We start from the raw sequence: 17,731 nt of genomic DNA, 5'->3' as shown, positions 1-17,731 counted from the left end.
GCCCTTACCTCGCACCGCCCCCCGGGGGGGCCAGGGGTGTCCCCGGTGGGGGAGGGGCCCCGCCCCTGCGCGGGGGAAGGGCGGGGTGCGGAGGGAGAGGGGGCGGTACGGCCCGGCTCGCGCCGCCCGGCGCGGTGGGGGCGGCGGCGGGGCCCGGGACGGCCGGGACGGCCGCGCGGTGACGGCCGCGGGAACGGCTCCCTCCGCCGCCGCTCCCGCCGCTGCCGCCGTTGCCCGGGCCCCGCCGCCGTTGCTAGGCGACCGCTGCTGCCGTGGCCGCCTCTGTCACGAGCCCTGTCGCCCGGAGACAGCGCGAGAGAGACGGGGGAGGGGGGCAAGGGGACCCCCAAAACAAACCAGGCCACCCACCATCCCCTCCTGAGCAGGACCCCCCCACACACACAAAACCGCGGAGAGAACGAGGGTTCGCGGCTCCACCCAGCAGAGGAGGAGCCCAGGATTCCAATGCCCCTCAAAGGTCCGGCGACCTCTCCCGGGCTGGAGAGTCCACAGCCTCAGCAAACACCTTGGCATTGCCAAGTCCCCAAGGTCCCAACGACCCCTATGTCCACTGCACATCCTCCATGCCCTTTACACATTCCATGTCTGCCTGAAGACCCTAAACGTTCACCCCCATCAACTTTCACTAAGCCCTCCCCCCAAATACATATGCCCCTGGAACCCCTCCCAGCCCCTACTGAACCCCAATACAGCAACCTCCACATGCCACCTCAACTCCAAACACACACGGTGTCCCCACCCAAAACACACGGGAGACCCCCGCCAGAGACCCCTAGACCCTGAGGACTCAGGATAAGGAGAAAGATGGGGAATAAGTGGGCAGATCTGCCAACCACAGGACACATGATAAACATGCTCTGTGAGCATGTGACCATTCTGGCCTGGAAACGCAGGTGTACACACATGCACACAAACACACACATCTTCCCCAGACATGAACATGACATACACACATATACATATACACACAGATGTGACAGACATCACACACATTCTCTGTATACACTCCACCACCACCTGACTTTGCCTCACAGAGATGTGCTACCCACACACCCCGATGGTATGGGGTTTCCATGACAATGACACACATCCCTGACCACCCACCCACCCACCCAAGGTCCCCAAACCGGCCCACAAGGCTAGTAGGGCCTGGACCTATCAGAAGGCTGGAAGGAGCCAAAGGATGGGGACAGGTCACTGGCTCTCTAAGGGAGAGAAACTGGTAGCTTGAATTCCTGAAGGGAGGGGGAGCTGGTGGGAAAAAGGGGTCACCTGGGGGTTGGAGGAATGGGGAACCTGGATCGCTAGGTCCGGGAAGGGAAATGAAGTGGAAGGGGGCAGTGACGAGGGGGTTTCCGGGGGCTGAGGGCGTCTCTCTGCACCTTGGCTGCAGATCTCTGTTCTCTGCCTTCATCTCCCCTCACTGTTCCCATGGAAACCTTTTAAGCGAACTTCTCAGGAAGACAAAAATCTTTTTTTAAATGACTAAAGAGGGGGTTGGGGGGGCAGAAAGGGGGAGGGAGGGGAAGAGACAGATGGAGAGAGGGAGAGAGTTGGAGAGACAGACCGCGCAGATAGCTCTACAGACAGAAAGGAGATGAGATGGGAGTCTGATGGACTTTCGCCGGGAGCAGAGGGGAGGGACGGGGTAATCAAGAGGGGTACAGAAAATAAGAGAAATCAGGGAGGAAAGAGAAAGGGTGATACAATTGCAGAAAATAGAAGCAGCTGATGAGAGGAGAAAACAGGGGGTAATAAAAGGAGACCTCAAGGACTGAAGGTCCGGAAGAAGAATCAGGAGCATAGGGGTGGGGAAGAGGTCTGGGGGGAGGGCAGGAACTAGGTCATTCTTTCCAAGATCCCAGACCAGGGGCTGGGAGGGGCAGGGGCAGGAACACACGGACTGGAAGCTAAAGATCTAAGGAGACTATTTTTACAAGCACCAGGAAAATAGTCAAACTTCACTGCTGGAGAGGAGAAAGGGAGCGAAGCCGAGCGAGGACCCACAGGGGCCTCTCACCCACAGCCCCTGTCCCGCTCCACCTTCCAGAGGAGGGCGCCATCTCCCCTCGGGAAGCAAGACTTTGTCTCCGCCTTCTCCCGCCCCCGGCCAGCTCCCGCCGCTCCCCGACGCCCCCGCCCCGCCAGCCCGGTCCATCTTCAGCCCTCTCCCCGCGCCTGTCCGGGTCATGAGAGCCTGCTCGGCCGCCGTACCATGCTCGCCGTGGGGCCGCCCCTCCACCGGCACGGAGACTGTGCGTCTCAGCAGTTTGTTGCGACTGGACTCGCTCCTCCGGTCCCGGATCAGTAGGGGGTGTATCTAGGGGAGGTGGGGGTGTGTCAGACCTCCCTGGCCCACGCCGCCCCTCCCCTCCCTCTTCCCCCCTCCGCCTCCTCCCAGGAAGGGCGGGCCTCCTTTTCCCCCTAAGCCTGCCCACTTTTTCTGCCCCGGCCCCTCCACACTTGGTGACTGGATCTCTCCCTTCTCTCCCCCAGTCTCTCTCTCTCATTCTTTGCCGTCCCACCCTCTTTTCTCCCTCCATTTGTCTTGAAACACCTTCCGGAGAATTCTCCCAAACCCTACTCAGCTCTTCTGCAACTCCTCAGAAGTTAGCTACTTCCTGAATCCAGTTTTCCCTTGACCTTCAGTTCCTCCATTCTCCCTGCTTTCCTCCCAACCTCCCACCTCCCTTACCCCCTTCTCTCCCTCCGAGCCTGTCACGGGGGTAGCAGAAGCTGCATTTATAATCAGGATCCACAGCTTGTCTCCCTCCCACGGCCCGGCTTGCGGCCAGACTGGGACCCAACCTCCCCTCCCGCCAGAGGGCCTGGTCACCTTCCCCCACCTTTCATCTCCTTCCATCACCCGACCCAGCATCTCTCAGTTCCCTTCTTCCCCTCAGCCATCACCTTTCCCTAAGCTTCACACCCAGCTCCCCCTGTCCACCTCCATCCCTACCTCCATACACCTCCACCCCTGCAGTCTCCTCCACCTCTACAAAGAGCCACAGGAACAGACCCCTCACTATCCCCCAGCCCCAGTTCCACCACCCATCCAATTCCAACTCCCTGCGTCTGTTCAGGCTGCTCATTTTCCCAATTCTATCTACTCCTCCTCCCACACACACGCCCTTCCTGCTCCAGACCGGCCATTCCTATTGCCCCTCAACTTGCTGGCCACTGGTCCCTTCAGTCTGTCCCTATCTCTGTCATTCCTTCATTACCCCAATCCATTGTCTTCCCTCTTCATCCCTATAACAGTCCCCACTCTGGGTTCCAGTTTCCCCCATTTCTCCTACAGACTCCAAACCTTGATCTAGGGGTTTGACCACAGTCACTCAAATGTCTCCCAATGGTGTCCAAAACTTAGACTCCCCAAGCCACCTCTCCTTTCAAAGTCACCATATCCTCTCCTTAACACCTCTACTTTACTCTGTGGCCTGGAAGCTGTCTACCCAGCCATCTCTCCACACTCTCACCTGCCCCCATAGGTCCCTTGACACTCTAGTTAGCCCTGACTCAAATTCTAACCCTTCCTCATCACACCATTCCCAATAACTTTCAGGGTCCATCTCTCACCACGTTTGGTTTTCCAGGCTACCCTACCATTTTTTAAAGCTTGTCCCCCAAATCACCCCCATTCCCTGACTCACACTTGTGGGGCACCATTCCAGTTTTTATCCTCTATTTCCTCCAATGGACACTCCTGCTGACCCAGCTCCCAAATCAGAACCCACACTTCCCTGGCTCTCAGATCTCCATACCTGGCCACCACCTCCCATAAGAGGCCTCTGTCCGTTTCATCTCCTTTACTCTGGCTAGTCCCTGCCCCTACTCCACTTGTACTCCTTTAGATAACTCCACATACTCCCAGTTCCCCTCCCTTATATTCCTTCCTGATGTCCAACCACTCCCTTGCAGAAGCCCTCTCAGTGTCTCTCTAAACCTTGATCTCAATCACTCTCCCAGTCTTCACCCCATCATGCCAAGATCCACTGACCTCAGTCTTCTTTCCCAGTATCCTCCAGCTACCTAAAACCTCCTCTATCCCCTGCCTTTTCTCTGCGTCCTGCAATTTCTCTTCTTGCACTCTGCCCCCTGATGGAGAAAGGACTGGGAGTCTTGCTCAGTGGGCAAAGCAGAGAGGGGTCCTGAGGATTGCTTTGGTTGGGAGGGCCTTCCATGTCTTCACCCCTTCTCCAAACCCTTCAGTTCCCCTTCCCCATTCTAACCTATCCTACAATATGGACAGTGTGAAAACAGGAGCCTCCCCACCCCCGAAATCTTCAGAACCACATCTCCTCCCCAACACAGCTCATAACCCTCAAAGACTCCCTGCCCAAGATGAGAGAATGACTACCCCTCTTGTCACACTCCAACCCAAGTCTCAATGGCCACCCTCCTGCCATTTGCAAATGTTTCTTCTTTGTCTGCCTTCTTTGTGTCTCTCTCCCCTTCACTAATGAGGACTCTCCCCATTCTCCCACATGCGTTTTCCCAGCCTTCTCACCACACTCACCTCATCCTCATCCAGCATGAGCAGCTGGTTCCCCGAGATGATGCAGAACCGAGGGTTCCAACCAGGACGATCATACGGGGAATGAACGTATTGGGTTCGGTGCATAGAGGGTCCCCGTACATCTGGAGGACAGAGACACACAGAAACAGTAAGGGAGGCTCTATGCATTTGGAAGCAGAGGCCTAAAATGGCAAGAAGAGAGTCCACAAAGTGAGAAGGGGACCCTACCGGCCTTCAGGAGATCACAGTTGAAAGTGAGACACCTGGCAACTCTAAAGGAACACAAGACAAGCATTTATACAAAGGGGAAAAGAGGAGAGGATCACATCACAGAAGGCTCTGGAGACTTGGGGGAAGAAATGCAGAGGTTCAGGGATGGGAATTATATGACAGAGAAGGTACACGTTTGGGGGCAGAGAAAGATGAAGGAGCTCTCCATCTACTTCAGGAAAATAAGGTAGAGGTGCCGCAAAATTGGCAGGAGAAAAACAGAGAAGTTGGTGTCAGATATCTGGGTAGAGGAAGGCATCCAAATAGCTGCAGAAGACAAGGACTTGGAAGGTGGCACCACCCCTCTATAAAAGAGTATGAGGAAAGCTACATGGCTGTGGGAAAGAAGGATGGGGTGTGTGTGTAGGAACATTGGGATCATGAGATTCTGAGGGCTAAATATCTAGAAAAGAAGAAGTCGGGGAGCTTACCTGTTCACAGTCAGAGACATGAGAGGGCCTCCCCTCCCAACTCTTCCCTCCTCTGTGCCCTCCTCCCCTAGTTCAACCCTGCTCATCCTTTAGGGAAAGTTCTGGTTCTTCTGGTGGTAAGGAGAAGATGGCTTTTGTCGGCATCTGGCTGTGGAGGCCCCAGGGCAGAAGGTGGGAAATATGCCCTTGTTTGGACAAGTAGAGACCAAATTTATCTCTTCTCCCATTCAGTGCCCAGAGATTCAACACTGCCCCCACCACCTCACCCCACCTAGTCTCAGTGGACAGGATGGAAGCCACTCCATAGGTCAGGAGCCTTCTCAAGGCACAGTGAGGAGCTTGAGGAAGAAAGATGTCAGGGGGAAAGAATGGAATATCCAGGCCTGGTGACACAGAGGGGCCTCCAAAGACAAGAGCTGGAGATGGGAACAAAACTTTGAGAAGAGAGAACAGTAGACCAAGTGTCGCCTATGGCTGAGATGAGACCAGGGTCCTCCTTCCCCAGCTCTGTTGTTCTTGCCATGCCGCTCTCCCTGCAAACTGCCTCTCCTTTAAACCCCAATGCCACACAGGCCCTATTGAAGTAAGAGAGATGTCACATTGGCGACAGCAAAGAGCTAGAAATTAGGCTTAAGGTATCAGATTTTAGATGGAAAAAAGATCAAACTCTGTCACCTTTATGGGATAACCATGAGTATACTGCAGGAGAACTGGTCTTTGAGCTTCATTCCAACAGAATGCACTGAGTAGCAGAGTTTTGCAAATTCAGCCCTTTTCTGTCTATAAATATGTCTCTCAAATTTACCCAACCTCCAGATCACAGTGAGCGATGAACCCTCAGAATGTCCACCATTTAGAAACCACATACTTTGAAACTCTATCTCAACCCATCTCAGAGACTAACTAATGTTCTCTAGATACAGAGATCACCAATACCTAGCCTCTGAAACTACAGACATTGCAGGCAACATGCCCACCGCACTTAGACACTTGGTATACCCAGAGGAGAAATCTGTTGATACACATAAGCATTTGGGGAAAGGGCTGGTTCAGGCTGCAGCCAAGGGAGGCGGGTTAGACTTCAGAGGGCATCTTTCTCCTGGCAGCAGGGAACTTAGGAACAACTCTAGAAACACACACACACATACTGTCTGGACTTGGTGAAGAATGATTCTGGGAGGCAGATGCAAGAGGCAGAGCAACATGGCTGAGAAACGGGAAATTTTTACTAGGATGAGAAATCCCTCAAGGGCTGAGATGGGGATCCCTTGTTCTAATCATCAAAACCTGTGTCTTTGTACCCCAAATCTCCAACACCCCAATAAGTAGAGGAGACAAGAAAAGAGAAATGATAATAAGAGTTGAGGTATTAAGGGAAAGTGGGTAGGCACAGACTTGTGGTGACAAGGAATGGTCTGGGAGACAAATAATAGGAGTAGATAGAAAAGGAGGCAGAAATGATGGTAAATGCCCAGGGGCAAGGGAATACACCTGAAGGGCTCGACTGGACATGTGTCAGAGCAAAGGAGGCAGACCTAATGCGGAGGCTATGAGAAGGGGTCAAGACGGACTAGTAAAGAAGTGATAGAGATATAAGGGAGCGACCACATAGAAAAGAGATAAGAGAGAGGCAATGAACACCAGAGAGGGGACTGATATAGGGGAAGGACAGAAGGGGGACTCATATAAGGAACGGACACCATATGGGGGGAAAGATATAGGTGATGGACAGCAGAGGAGGGAGGGGGAATGGAAATAAGGATTGGAGGGGTGGGGGAAGGGGGTAAAAGTGATGAAGTGAAGACAGCATTAAGACCCCAGAGGTTACATTTTACTGGTCAAGAGCCTTTAAGAGGGTCAGAGTCTGGGGCAGGATCCTAACCTGTCCCCTACTCCCATCATTTCATCTTACTTGTACTGCCACCCCCCCAAGCACACATAATTTGGCCCTCCCCCTGCCCTGGTCTCCCCTCCCCCACCGTTCCCTCTCTCTTCTCTCTTCCCTCCATCTGGACCCTCCATCCCCCCACCCCCCACTGCCTCCCTCTCTCTCCATCTGGCCCCTTCTCTCCCTCCATCCTCCTCTCTTTTTCCGCCCCTTACCATACTCTGAGTCCCCCACCAAATTATCCCCCCACATCTTCTTGGCTTCTCTTTTCACCCCTATGTTTTCATTTCTCCTTCCTAGCCCCTCTCCCAAGACTCTGTCCCTCTATTTCCTTGATGTTTTCCTCATCACTCAGCTCCCACCCCCAAATTATTTCTGCAGCTTTTTCCCCAACCCAATCCTTCTACCTTCCCACCCCTTTCTGGCGCTTTCTTTCCCCTTCATCATTTTCCCTTCAGCCCCCTTTCAAGGCCCATTTCCTGGCCCCTCCATCCCTTATCTACCCCTATCCCTCTGGCCTCCAATCCCTCCTTCCCGGTTGCTCCCACCCCTGCCTTCCCGGTCCTCCCCTCTCCCTCCATTTCAGCCGCTCCCTTCCCTCGGCCCCGACTCTCCCCCGCCCCCTGCCCCTCCCCCTGTTGCCCCCCATATGGCCCTCCCCCTCCCCCCACCACGTACCTCTGAAGGGGGCATAGGACATCGCGGGGATGCTCCCCCGATGGATGGAGGCTCGAGACCTGCTCATCAGGCCTGGGGGGAGGGGGCGGGGGGACGGGGGAGAAAGAAGAGAGAAAGAGGGGGAGAAAGAGGGGGAGAAGGAGGAGGAGGTGGAGGAGGAGGAGGAGGAGAGAGGAGGAGAGAGGAGCAGAGAGAAGCAGAGAGGAGGAGAGAGGAGGAGGAGGAGGAGAATAAGAGCCAACGGCAGCAGCGGCAGCCGAGAGAGAGGGGGGGCGGGGGAGCGAGCGAGAGCGAAGAGAGCAGGAGGAGGAGGAGGAGGGAGAGACTCTGCAGCCCCCACCCCTACTCCGGGAGGCCCAGATTGTGAGAGAGAGAGAGACCCCTGACTCAAAAACACACCAGAGAGAGACAGAGGTCCTAAAGATGCAGACCCCAGACCCTGAGACAGAGAGACCCTAGACCCACAGAGAAAGATACTTCACCACCCCCCACTGTGGGGTAATTTGAGACACAGGGCCAAAATCTAGAGGAAAAGAGACTCCTGATTTGAGGAAAAAACGACCCCAGATCCCCCAGAGAGAGAAGCTCAATATCAAAATCTGAAAATCCAGTCTAAAAAGGGTTCTCCATACCTACAGATATCTTAGACTCCAGACCCTGAGATGATGATTTCAGGGACCAGGACCTGAGACCTAGACTCAGAAAAAGATGAGGCCCAGATTCAGAAAGAGCCAGATGTAGAATTAGAGCTTAGAGAACTCAGACCTAGAAAGAGACCCCAGACTCAGATCTCAGAGACTGATAACTTAGAGACAGAGACACTCCTGACTTAAGGGGAGATAGAGACTTCAGCTGGTCCGGAGATGGACAACTCAGAGACCCAAAATTCATGAAGAAGACTTCGAAAGACCTCAGAGTGCGACCACAGACCCTGAAACATAGAAACCCCCCAAACCAGAAGCATAAAAGGAAACTCAATCCTAAGAAAGATCTCCACACAAATACTGAAAGACCCCTCCGAAATCTGTCTCAGAGACAAACTCCAAACTCAAAGACAGAGATCTCAGGGAACCTCCCCTCCCCACTTCCCTGCCCTAGAACCTCCGAGAGGTATAACCCTGACGTCAGCCTGGGAAACTCCGAGGCATCCCCACCACCAGACCAATGACCTCAGACCTTGAAGGGAGGGGAAATATTGGGTGGGGGCAGTGGCAAGAGCTTTTTTCTCTGCACCTCCTCCCACCTCTCTGCCTCTCATTGGCCCCTCTCTCCATTTTTGGGTCACAGGATGTGCTTGGGCCCCAGGGAAGTTATGTAGGGCAGGTCCTGGCTCCTTGGGGGATGGGTTAGGGAAAGGAGACCCGAGGCTGAGAGGTGGACCAATCCTGGGGAGTGGAATAGGCAGGGAAGAGGGGACAGAAGGACCATCACCACTGTCCCCATCCTGCAGCCCTCGTTCTCCTTCCCTCTGATTCAGTAGTCTGTCTCAAGCTTTGGGTTTTCAATTAAGATGGCTAGGCCCCATTTTCACCATCCTCTACCACAGGGTCTCGCTCTGTTTTAAAATGCTTCTTTCCTCAGCTAGCTATTGTCTTGCCATGCCCGTGCCTGCCTAATCACTCCCTGCTACCCAGGGACAGCGGGCTTCTAGATCACCGTTGTTCATTCCCAAACCCAGGCATATCTCTGCCCAACTAAAAGGGCAGGGGGCGCTCTCTTAACCCCTGAGTTTGGGGTGAAGGGTCCTTCTCAGACCCTCCCACTCCTTAAGACCTCGGAAACAGTGCAGGGGAGGTCACTAGGCACATTGTGGGGTTTAAGGATGATTCCCCACTCCACAGCCTGACGCATCGACTCTGCGGGGTCTCTGGCCCCCCTTTCCTGGAACCAGCTCTCGCCTCACGTGGCCTGCGAGGCTGGCCTGTGATTGGCCACTTGGCGTCACTCACTGAGTGCCGCCGCCGAAGAGGACCGGCCCCCTCACGTGACAGTGGAACGCCGCAGCGGCTCTCCTCAGCCAGCAAGTGGCAGTTTCGGGTTCACACGGAAACGGGCGTGCCATTTCCGCGCACGTCTGCAGATGCGGTAGTCGATTGGTCAAGTCTCCCATGGCTCCTCCTTCATCAGGAGGTGGGCAAACCGCGCCATGATAGGGTCGGGATTGGCTGGCTCTGGAGGCGCAGGTGGTCCTTCTTCTACTGTCACATGGTGCGCGCTGTTTTCTAATCACGTGGCTGCCACCCAGGTAAGAAGAGGCCGCTCTTCCTGGGGTTGTTTCTCCGTGTGACGTGTGGCCTTTGAGATCAACTCTCCTGTACCAGCGTAGGCCGCATGAGTGGGGGGCGGGCTCCCGCGGTCCTGCTCGGCGGAGTGGTGAGTGACCGGCCCCGCCCCGCCCCTTCCGGTCCTCGAAGCCTCGACCGCTACCCGCACCCTAAATCCCAGAGGTTGGCCCCCTGAGGTGTGAGTGAAATGAGCTTTTGCTTTATTTTCCAAGTTTCTCTCTCACCTTCAGGGGCATTCTTCGGGGGTGCATCAGAGGGAGGGCAGAGCCTGAGGATCTAAGCGAAGGCTTCCCCGGGTGTAATTTCCTGGGCTGTTTGTGAGGAGAGATCGAATTCGCCTCCTGCTCTCAGGCCTCTCTGCTCCTGTCTTTTGTTTGGATGCCGGCGCTGCTGCCTGTGGCCTCCCGCCTTTTGTTGCTACCCCGAGTCTTGCTGACCATGGCCTCTGGAAGCCCTCCGACCCAGCCCTCGCCGGCCTCGGATTCCGGCTCTGGCTACGTTCCGGGCTCGGTCTCTGCAGCCTTTGTTACTTGCCCCAACGAGAAGGTCGCCAAGGAGATCGCCAGGTAGGGACCTCGATGTGCAGCGAGAAAGGATGATCATGAAGGGACAGTTGGGGGTGGGGCAGAAGAGTGCTGCTTTCTCCTTTCTCCAGCTCTGGAAGCCTGTCTCTGGGCTGCCAGTACAAAAACTGGGGTTATGGGGTACTCTGAATGGGACTGTCTCTTCACTCCAGGGCCGTGGTGGAGAAGCGCCTAGCAGCCTGCGTCAACCTCATCCCTCAGATTACATCCATGTGAGTCATAGGAGTTGGGGGGTTAACCTAACTGTAGGAGCTGACTGGGAACCTCTTTCCTGGGGGAAATTCTTTGCTCCCCACAACTCTCCCCCTCTGACCTTTCAGCTATGAGTGGAAAGGGAAGATCGAGGAAGACAGTGAGGTGCTGATGGTGAGAAACATTTCCCCCACCCAACAAAATATCCCCAATCCCTGACCCCTTTAGCCCTTACCCCTCTTCTGAGAAACTGAACTCAATCCCACTCCTTGATTCAACCATGTTTATCTTTGTCCCTTAGATGATTAAAACCCAAAGTTCCTTGGTCCCAGCTTTGACAGATTTTGTTCGGTGAGAACTTTGAGATGGATGGGGTGAGGGTGTGTACTGTGTGGGTGTGACTTGCTGGGCAGTCTAGGGCTTGCGTGTAAGGGAGTGGGTTCTTTTGGGTAAATCTTTGAGTGATCCCCTTCCCCCACCCACCTATTTTGTAGTTCTGTGCACCCTTACGAAGTGGCCGAGGTAATTGCATTGCCTGTGGAACAGGGGAACTTTCCGTACCTGCAGTGGGTGCGCCAGGTCACAGAGTCAGTTTCTGACTCTATCACAGTCCTGCCATGATGAGCCCTGTTCCTGCTCATCATGAAGATCCCCGCGATACTTCAACGCCTTCTGACTTCCAGGTGATGACTGGGCCCCCAATAAATCCCGTCTTTGGGTCTCTCTGCCTTTTGCCTGTTTTTTGTCATGTATGCAAATTTGTTGGGAGAATATAAGTGCTTCTAGTCCCTGTATTCTCTACATCTTTCAGAATGACTCAGAGCTGCTAGATTTGTTTATTTCTCTTTATTTCAATCATACAGAGTCCGGGATCCCTTATCATCCTCCCTCCTCAGTCTCTGCCCCCAGGGGTTAAATAATTTTAAAAAATATTTAAAAAGCTGTAACAAAATAACATCAAAGGAAATGGGAAGGATGGGAGGGGTCAGGAATCATGAAGGAGGGTAGAGAAGAGGGCCTCTTCCCCACTCCCCACTCTTGGATTCCAGCCTGGGCAGTAGGGAGAACTACCCCCTATCTCTCCAGGTACATCCCAGCTGTAGGTGAGGTCAGAGGTCAGGGTATGAAAGTGCCGGTGTGTGTGAATGGGGAGCTGGGCAGAGGCAGGCTGTTCAGAAGATGCCCCCTCCTCCCCACTCAACCAGGTACTGCACAGAGCCATCAGGCCGTACTCTCCGAGCAAGGACCCGGACAGGGTCCCCTCGGGACAGGTAACCAACCCCACCTCGGACTCCTCCCCCAGTCCCAGGAGACAAACTACGGCACAGGGGAGAAGGGGGTGCTGAGCGTCTAGGAAGACCTGGGGATGGGGATGAAACTGAGGAAGATGAGGCAGTCATCGAGTGGGGGGCACTTTTAGGGATGTCTGTGGGGAAACCAATGTGAAGTTCCAGGGGTGACCTAGGGAGAGAAGGCAATTGTAAGAAATGGGCAGAAATGGAGAGCACATGTGAATCAGAGAAACAGTGTTAGAGACTAAGAGCCTTGAGCACATAGAGGGGAAGAAGAGCATCACTGGTAATAGAAGACAGAATCTCACCTGTCTGGGGGTCCACTGTCCCCAGAGGTCCCTGCGGTGCTGGCAGAAGGGTGGAAGGAAGCAAACATCCGGATGGGGCTGCTGGGGTTGGAGTGGGGAAAGTCAGGACCTGAAGCAGGGGAACAGGACCTTCTCCCCCTGGGAAGTGCAGAGCTCAAACACTACCCCCAAGGGACTCCCTTCCCCAGAATACTGGCTACCAGACACTAGTTCTAGAAGTCGGTCTAGGCCAAGAAGTGGGTAGCCAAGGGGGAGAGGGAAAAGAATTCTGGGTGATAAAGTCCAGAAGATGTGAATAATTGGGAGCATATTTTGTGGGGGAGGGGCAGAGGAGCACTGACCTGGGCAGGCAGCGGGCATCTGTGGGCCGGAAGTTGTAGCCGCTGCTGCCCTGGTAACTCTGGTTAGGGCTGGGGGATGGTGGAGACACTGAGGCCTAGAAGAGGGGGCAAAGGACTGAGAGATAATCCTTGACTCCTTCCCACACCCCACCATTTGCTCCATCGGGTTCCCCCTGCTCCAGTACCTGCAGTGCCCTCTGCAGATGAGCCCGCTCCCTCTGCTCCTGGGGCTCGGGCTGATTGCGCACTGCTGAGGGTGGCCCCAGCTCCTCCACTTTCCCCTTCTGCCTCCTCCTCAGGGGCTCTGGCTCCGGCCTCCGGCGCTTCCCCAGGGGACGTGAGACCCCTCCCCCAGGGCCCTGCCCTGAAGGGAAGCTGTAAGAGGCCTCCTTATCCCCCCAGCCCCCTCCCGGACACCCCCAAGACCTCCCCATCTCTATACATATACCCCCCAGGACTAACACCCTGAGAATTTCCCCCATCCCCCCTGGACCAGTGACCTGGTGAGTGCTCCATCTCCAGTAGGGGGCTCCACAGGGGGAGGCATCCGAGCATGGAGACCAAACAAACATTTCCTCTTCTTAATCTCTCTCCCTGAAATGAAACTGGGGCAAGAAGAGAAATGATATAGGGTCAGTGCTGTAAAAAACGGTTCCTCCTTACGCCATTCCTCAATCCTTTTCAGTCACAGTCTTCCAGGTGGGTTGCAAGCCCCTCCCCTTCCAGGCTTCCACTCTCCATCTCTTTCCGAGCCTCATCCTTGCCTCCTCTTCCCTCCAACTCACCGGTCCTTGTGGCTGTTAAGAGCAGAGAGGAGCCTGGAAGAACGTTCTCCTTTGGGGGTGTCTGAAAGCTGGGAGAAATGAAGAAAAATGGGGCCAGGGGAGCAGTGATTTCTTCTCTTCCCCTTTCCGCTACATCTCCCTGTCCCATCCCAACCCCCAAAACTGCACTACCCCTTACCTCCCCCAGGAGCAAACTGTCCCAATTCTCAGAAGTGAAGGGGAGGATCTCACGATCAAAATCAAAGTATTTCTTCTTACAGCAAACACTGAGGTGATACAGGACAAGATGGGCCACATCCACCCTGGAAAAACAAAGTTTTCAAGACCACAGAGGCATTTTAAGAGCCAGGGGAGTCCTGAGGTGGGAGGTTGGGGCATATAGAGTGAAATACTGTGGTGTGGAGTTACACTGAGGTCATGCCCAATCCAGCTCACCAGCGAAGCTGTAGTCTCCGGACTTTCTCAGGGCCCCCGCGACACACACAGCATTCAAATTCATAGAACCTGGACATGGGCAAGAGGGAGCAAACACACTTACACAGGAAAACTGTGCCATCCCCTGGAAGACTCACAAGCAAGGACGGGGCAAACAGGTGAGGTAACGCTGCAGAGGTTGGGAAGAGACTGGAGTGGAGAAGGGCGTGGGAGAACTGAGGGTGGAACACGAAGAAAGAGGGCATCCTTGGCTCCTAGAGAGTCTGCCTTGGTCTCACCTGTCCCCATAGAGGAGGGGCTTGCTCAGACACTGGGTGCAGGCCTCATGGAACCACTGCAGGCAGCTCCGGCACTGCAGCATTTTCAGGTTCCACCTGAGGGGGAACACAGGACTTCTGGCCTCCAGAAACCCCCTTCCCCATAACTGTCCCAAACCCTAAACTTACCTCCTATCCCCCTGAGTGCTACCCTCATCCTGTTCTTTTTCCTTCATTTCCTGGGATCCACCACCACATCATTCATTCCACAGTCTGCTCCCCTCTCATTACTCACTCCCCAGGGCCACCACAGTAACAGTAACTCTGCTGTCGGTTGCTCAGATGTCCAGCATCCCAGTCCAGCCCCTTCAGTCCATATGGCAGAGAAAGCTTCATACCCAGCATGGCCCGGGCATAGGGGCCCTTCTTCAGGGCACCTCCCCTCTGCAGAGACAGGACAGGTGGGTGGCTTCAGAGGGGTGGGGAGAGGAAAAGGCTTGGGAGAGGCTGTGGATGGGAGGCTCCCACAGGAAGGGTAACAGGGAAGTGCCTTTACCTTGGTGGCGATCGCAAAGACACACTGGCGGCATACCCAGGATGTGCCCTCTCCCTCTCCAGGGGCTGGAGCCCTGGGAACATGGCAGTCCTGGTGATAAGCTGCAGTGATAATAGTAGACCACTTATTGCATACCTGTGTGTGCTTGGTATTGGGACAGGAATAGTCTTTACCCATCTCATTTAATCCCTGACCATGGTCTTGATGAGGGGGTGCATTATCCTTATTTTACAAGTCAGGGAACTGAGGCTCCTAGAGGTTAAGGGACTTGTCCGAGGTCATATGGTTAGAAAAGGATGCATTTAAACCATCTTCTGCCTGCAAAGGTTATACCACCCCTTTCCATGGCTGCTTCTCCCTGGGCTGAAAGCGGATGAGGACTAAGATAAGGCTAAGCAGCCTGGCCAGAGCAGTGGCTTGGGGACTAAGGCCAGGACAGGTGATATAGAGACCATCCTGGAGGGAAGAGCAAGCTGGACCATTCAGGTGACCTGCCCTCTCACCATGGCGACACTTCTCACAGCTGACCAGCCGGTTCCCAGGGACCACAGTCTCAGAGCGACAGACACAACAGAGGAGTTCCTCTCCAGGGAGGGCAGCTGTGAGAGAACACAGTGTCACAGGGCCTGCCTTTAAGTCTCTTTCTGCCCCTCTAGGCCAGGTTTGTTTTCCATGGGATGTGCAATCTCAGGTCTCTAGAGTCTTACCAGGGCTAATGTCTTTCCATAGAACCAGAAACTGCGAATCATCCTCAAACTGGACCAGACACACCTCCCTAGCACTGTCCACCTGGAATGGGTGAGCAAACAGGATGAAATGGGAACCAGAATTAGATAAGGGAACTAGGAAGAAGGTCAGAGGTAGAAGGTCTTACCTTTTTGATGGTACCCAAGTATAGCAGCCCATCAGTCCATCTGGCCAGCACATCTTGACCCTCCCAAAGCCGAGGCCTGGGGCCAGAGGTGGGAGCAGGAGAAGCTGGGTCCCAAAGTGAGGAGGCACCAGAGCGGCTCAGCCGGGGGGGCTGCGCCATTGCATCCTGGGGGGGCCTAGCCAGAAAAGAAATGGGGAGGAGAAGGTTATGAATGCTGAGAAACCTTCCCCATTTTCTTTTTCTTTTTTTTTTTTTTTTCCTGAGATGGAGTTTTGCTCTGTCGCCCAGGCCAGAGTGCAGTGGCACAATCTTGGCTCACTGCAACCTCCACCTCCCGGGTTCAGGCAATTCTCCTGCCTCAGTCTCCCAAGTAGGTGGGATTACAGGCGCATGCCACCATGCCTGGCTAATTTTTGTATTTTTAGTAGAGATGAGGTGTTGGCCATGTTGGCCAAACTGGTCTCGAACTCCTGACCTCATGATCCACCCACCTCAGCTTCCCAAAGTGCTGGGATTACAGGCGTGAGCCACCGGGCCCGGCCAGCCTCCCCATTTTCTTTGCCTATTTTGCCATCAAGAATGAAGTATCTGTGCCCCCATCTCCAAATCCCTGAGACACCTTGATAGGAAACCACTGGGCACCCATCACCAGCTTTTTGAGTCCTCTTCCAACTCTAGTGACTGGCTCTCCTCTCGGTAACTAACAGCCCTCCCCCCGACCCCAAACCTAGTTGCTAGTTTCCCAGCTTCCAGAGCTCTCCTGGGATATTATATACTGGCCTTGAAATTTTAGGAGAAATTATGGTTGTAGAAGCAAAGGCTACTCAGTTTAGAGGTATCATAATTAGGGTGTCCTGTTGCCCAGAGACGTGTTTTGGGACCTTTTCTGGAGATGTTTTCCAGAGCAGAAACGGCTGTCTCCCCAGGCCTGCGCGTCTCATTAAGAACAATCATCCTGGTGCCAGGTTATGTCAGGTCACCCTCAAATTCGGGGCTCCCTGCCCCCGGGTTAGACAACTTCTCTGAGTGCCCCGGGAGGGGGGCGTGTCCCAGTCCCGGTCTCTACTCCCCAGGACGGCAAGTCCGAGAAGGGACTTGTGTCGGCCCAGCCCGGACCCGAGGCCAAGGCGGCGAGGCTCTCCCGCCCGCGCCCCGCGCCGACCCCCGGCTCCCTGCCCCCCACCAGCGCCTCCTGCCGCCTCCTTACCGGTGACAGCTGGGGCCGCCGGGAGCCGGGCAGGGGCAGACGTAGGAGACCTAGGCGAGTCCCCCGCGCGGAGAGGGCACGTCCGGGCGTGGGGGGGCGTGCAGGCGGAGGCCGGGGGGTCCCCAGGCCCAGCCCCTCCGTCCCGGCGGCTCTGGGGCGTATGACGCAGCAGCCAAAGCAGCGGCAGCGGCAGGAGGAGGAGGCGGCGGGGGGGAGGGAGGGAGGGGAGGGACGGACCGGTTGGGGGGGAGGGTGGTGGGAGGGGAGGACTGGGGGAAAGGAGGAGCCGGAGGGGGGGGCGGGCACCACCTCACCCCACCTCCCTCACCTCCAACAGGCCTGGAGGGCGCCGAAGAAGAGGCTGGCCCTCCGCGGCTTGGGGAGCGAAGAGTCGGACCCGGTGGGAGAGGGAATCCCCTCAGCCCCTTCCTCCGACCTGAGATTCGCCCTTGGGGCACGAGGGAATCCCCCCTCCCGGCAGCCCGCCTCCGGCCTGGTCCCCCGCCCCATGCCACATCCGTTAGCTGCCCCACCCCCCATGGTCACTCCAAGTCCCGCCCCCCGGCCCCAGTTCACAGCCCCGCCCTCCATTCACCCTTCTCGATGCCCCCACCACGCCCTCCTCCCTCGCGCGCCCCGCCCTCCCCGTGACGAGTCGCGCCCCACCCACCGCCCTTTTGCGCACGCGTGTCCCCTCCTGCGCGCGGCACCTGGGAGGACTGAGCCCCTCCTTCACCGGGCGGCGGCCGTCGGCGGTTGGCGCGAGGGAGTCGGCGGGCGTGCGCGCCGCTTCCCGTGGACGTCCCGC

The 17,731-nt window shown here is 55.6% G+C and overlaps 3 protein-coding genes across 37 annotated transcripts in view, besides 1 other annotated feature; 1 reads left to right on the top strand and 2 right to left on the bottom strand.

Moving 5' to 3' along the window:
• Window positions 1-9,972, bottom strand: part of SYNGAP1 (synaptic Ras GTPase activating protein 1) — a 35,523-nt gene extending 25,551 nt beyond the window's left edge. For 16 of the 18 annotated variants that reach the window (XR_007059351.1, XM_047419464.1, XM_047419463.1 and 13 more), the window contains exons 1-3: window positions 7,808-8,074; window positions 4,541-4,662; window positions 2,236-2,341 (exon numbers count right to left, since the gene is read on the bottom strand). Coding sequence is in view for 17 of the 18 variants with exons in the window: in XM_047419464.1 (XP_047275420.1) it covers window positions 2,236-2,341; window positions 4,541-4,662; window positions 7,808-7,874 (295 nt within the window). In the remaining variant the exon portion in view is untranslated. Of the gene's footprint in view, window positions 1-2,235; window positions 2,342-4,540; window positions 4,663-5,241; window positions 7,138-7,807; window positions 8,075-9,756 lie in introns of those variants that run through there. The other 2 variants (XM_047419455.1, XM_047419456.1) reach the window with 2 other exon arrangements.
• Window positions 2,217-2,759: an enhancer, noted in NCBI's record as "H3K27ac-H3K4me1 hESC enhancer chr6:33393157-33393699 (GRCh37/hg19 assembly coordinates)". NCBI's record gives its function as "activates a minimal SCP1, AML or CMV promoter by ChIP-STARR-seq in primed H9 embryonic stem cells {active_cell/tissue: H9 hESC(primed)}" and the evidence as "EXISTENCE:reporter gene assay evidence [ECO:0000049][PMID:30033119]".
• CUTA (cutA divalent cation tolerance homolog) lies at window positions 10,032-11,697 on the top strand. 5 transcript variants are annotated; one of them, NM_001014433.3, is made up of 6 exons: window positions 10,032-10,052; window positions 10,444-10,658; window positions 10,829-10,888; window positions 10,997-11,042; window positions 11,170-11,219; window positions 11,363-11,697. In NM_001014433.3, exons 2-6 carry the CDS (start codon window positions 10,471-10,473, stop codon window positions 11,487-11,489), a joined length of 471 nt encoding a protein of 156 aa, NP_001014433.2. In that variant the 5' UTR covers window positions 10,032-10,052; window positions 10,444-10,470; the 3' UTR covers window positions 11,490-11,697. The 5 variants fall into 5 exon arrangements, with proteins under 5 accessions (NP_001014433.2, NP_001014840.1, NP_001014837.1 ...); NM_001014840.2 differs by having other exon boundaries at window positions 10,032-10,180; NM_001014837.2 differs by having other exon boundaries at window positions 10,032-10,180; window positions 10,323-10,658.
• Window positions 11,700-17,727, bottom strand: PHF1 (PHD finger protein 1). 14 transcript variants are annotated; one of them, NR_027692.2, is made up of 15 exons: window positions 16,924-17,125; window positions 15,717-15,891; window positions 15,550-15,631; window positions 15,346-15,441; window positions 14,843-14,943; window positions 14,582-14,730; window positions 14,308-14,403; window positions 14,030-14,098; window positions 13,773-13,896; window positions 13,595-13,662; window positions 13,310-13,414; window positions 12,995-13,173; window positions 12,810-12,904; window positions 12,469-12,549; window positions 11,700-12,329 (listed from the first exon to the last, which is right to left on the bottom strand). NR_027692.2 is itself a non-coding variant. In XM_047418879.1 (15 exons), the coding sequence occupies exons 2-15, from the start codon at window positions 15,873-15,875 to the stop codon at window positions 12,041-12,043; spliced, it is 1,704 nt and encodes a 567-aa protein (XP_047274835.1). In that variant the 5' UTR covers window positions 15,876-15,891; window positions 17,634-17,727; the 3' UTR covers window positions 11,700-12,040. The 14 variants fall into 14 exon arrangements, 11 of the variants coding, with proteins under 11 accessions (XP_047274835.1, XP_011512967.2, XP_011512968.2 ...); XM_047418879.1 differs by lacking the exon at window positions 16,924-17,125 and adding an exon at window positions 17,634-17,727 and having other exon boundaries at window positions 12,995-13,184; XM_011514665.2 differs by lacking the exon at window positions 16,924-17,125 and adding an exon at window positions 17,252-17,449 and having other exon boundaries at window positions 12,810-12,924; window positions 12,995-13,184.
• Between the last annotated feature and the right edge of the window lie 4 nt (window positions 17,728-17,731).

This window comes from Homo sapiens, chromosome 6 (genome assembly GCF_000001405.40).
Source record: "Homo sapiens chromosome 6, GRCh38.p14 Primary Assembly".
NCBI lineage: Eukaryota > Metazoa > Chordata > Mammalia > Primates > Hominidae > Homo > Homo sapiens.
The sequence above is the reverse complement of the archived record's forward strand: the minus strand, read 5'-3'. Positions and strand labels throughout refer to the sequence as shown.

Coding starts and splice junctions, on each gene's coding strand:
- CUTA (NM_001014840.2), top strand. CDS start 10,139: ATGAGTGGGGGGCGGGCTCCCGCGGTCCTGCTCGGCGGAGTG. Junction 10,659..10,828: donor GTCGCCAAGGAGATCGCCAG/GTAGGGACCTCG, acceptor TCTTCACTCCAG/GGCCGTGGTGGAGAAGCGCC. Junction 11,220..11,362: donor GCTTTGACAGATTTTGTTCG/GTGAGAACTTTG, acceptor CCTATTTTGTAG/TTCTGTGCACCCTTACGAAG.
- PHF1 (XM_011514662.2), bottom strand. CDS start 17,433: ATGGGGCGGGGGACCAGGCCGGAGGCGGGCTGCCGGGAGGGGGGATTC. Junction 15,632..15,716: donor ACTTGGGTACCATCAAAAAG/GTAAGACCTTCT, acceptor CACCCATTCCAG/GTGGACAGTGCTAGGGAGGT. Junction 13,415..13,594: donor CTTAACAGCCACAAGGACCG/GTGAGTTGGAGG, acceptor TTCTTGCCCCAG/TTTCATTTCAGGGAGAGAGA.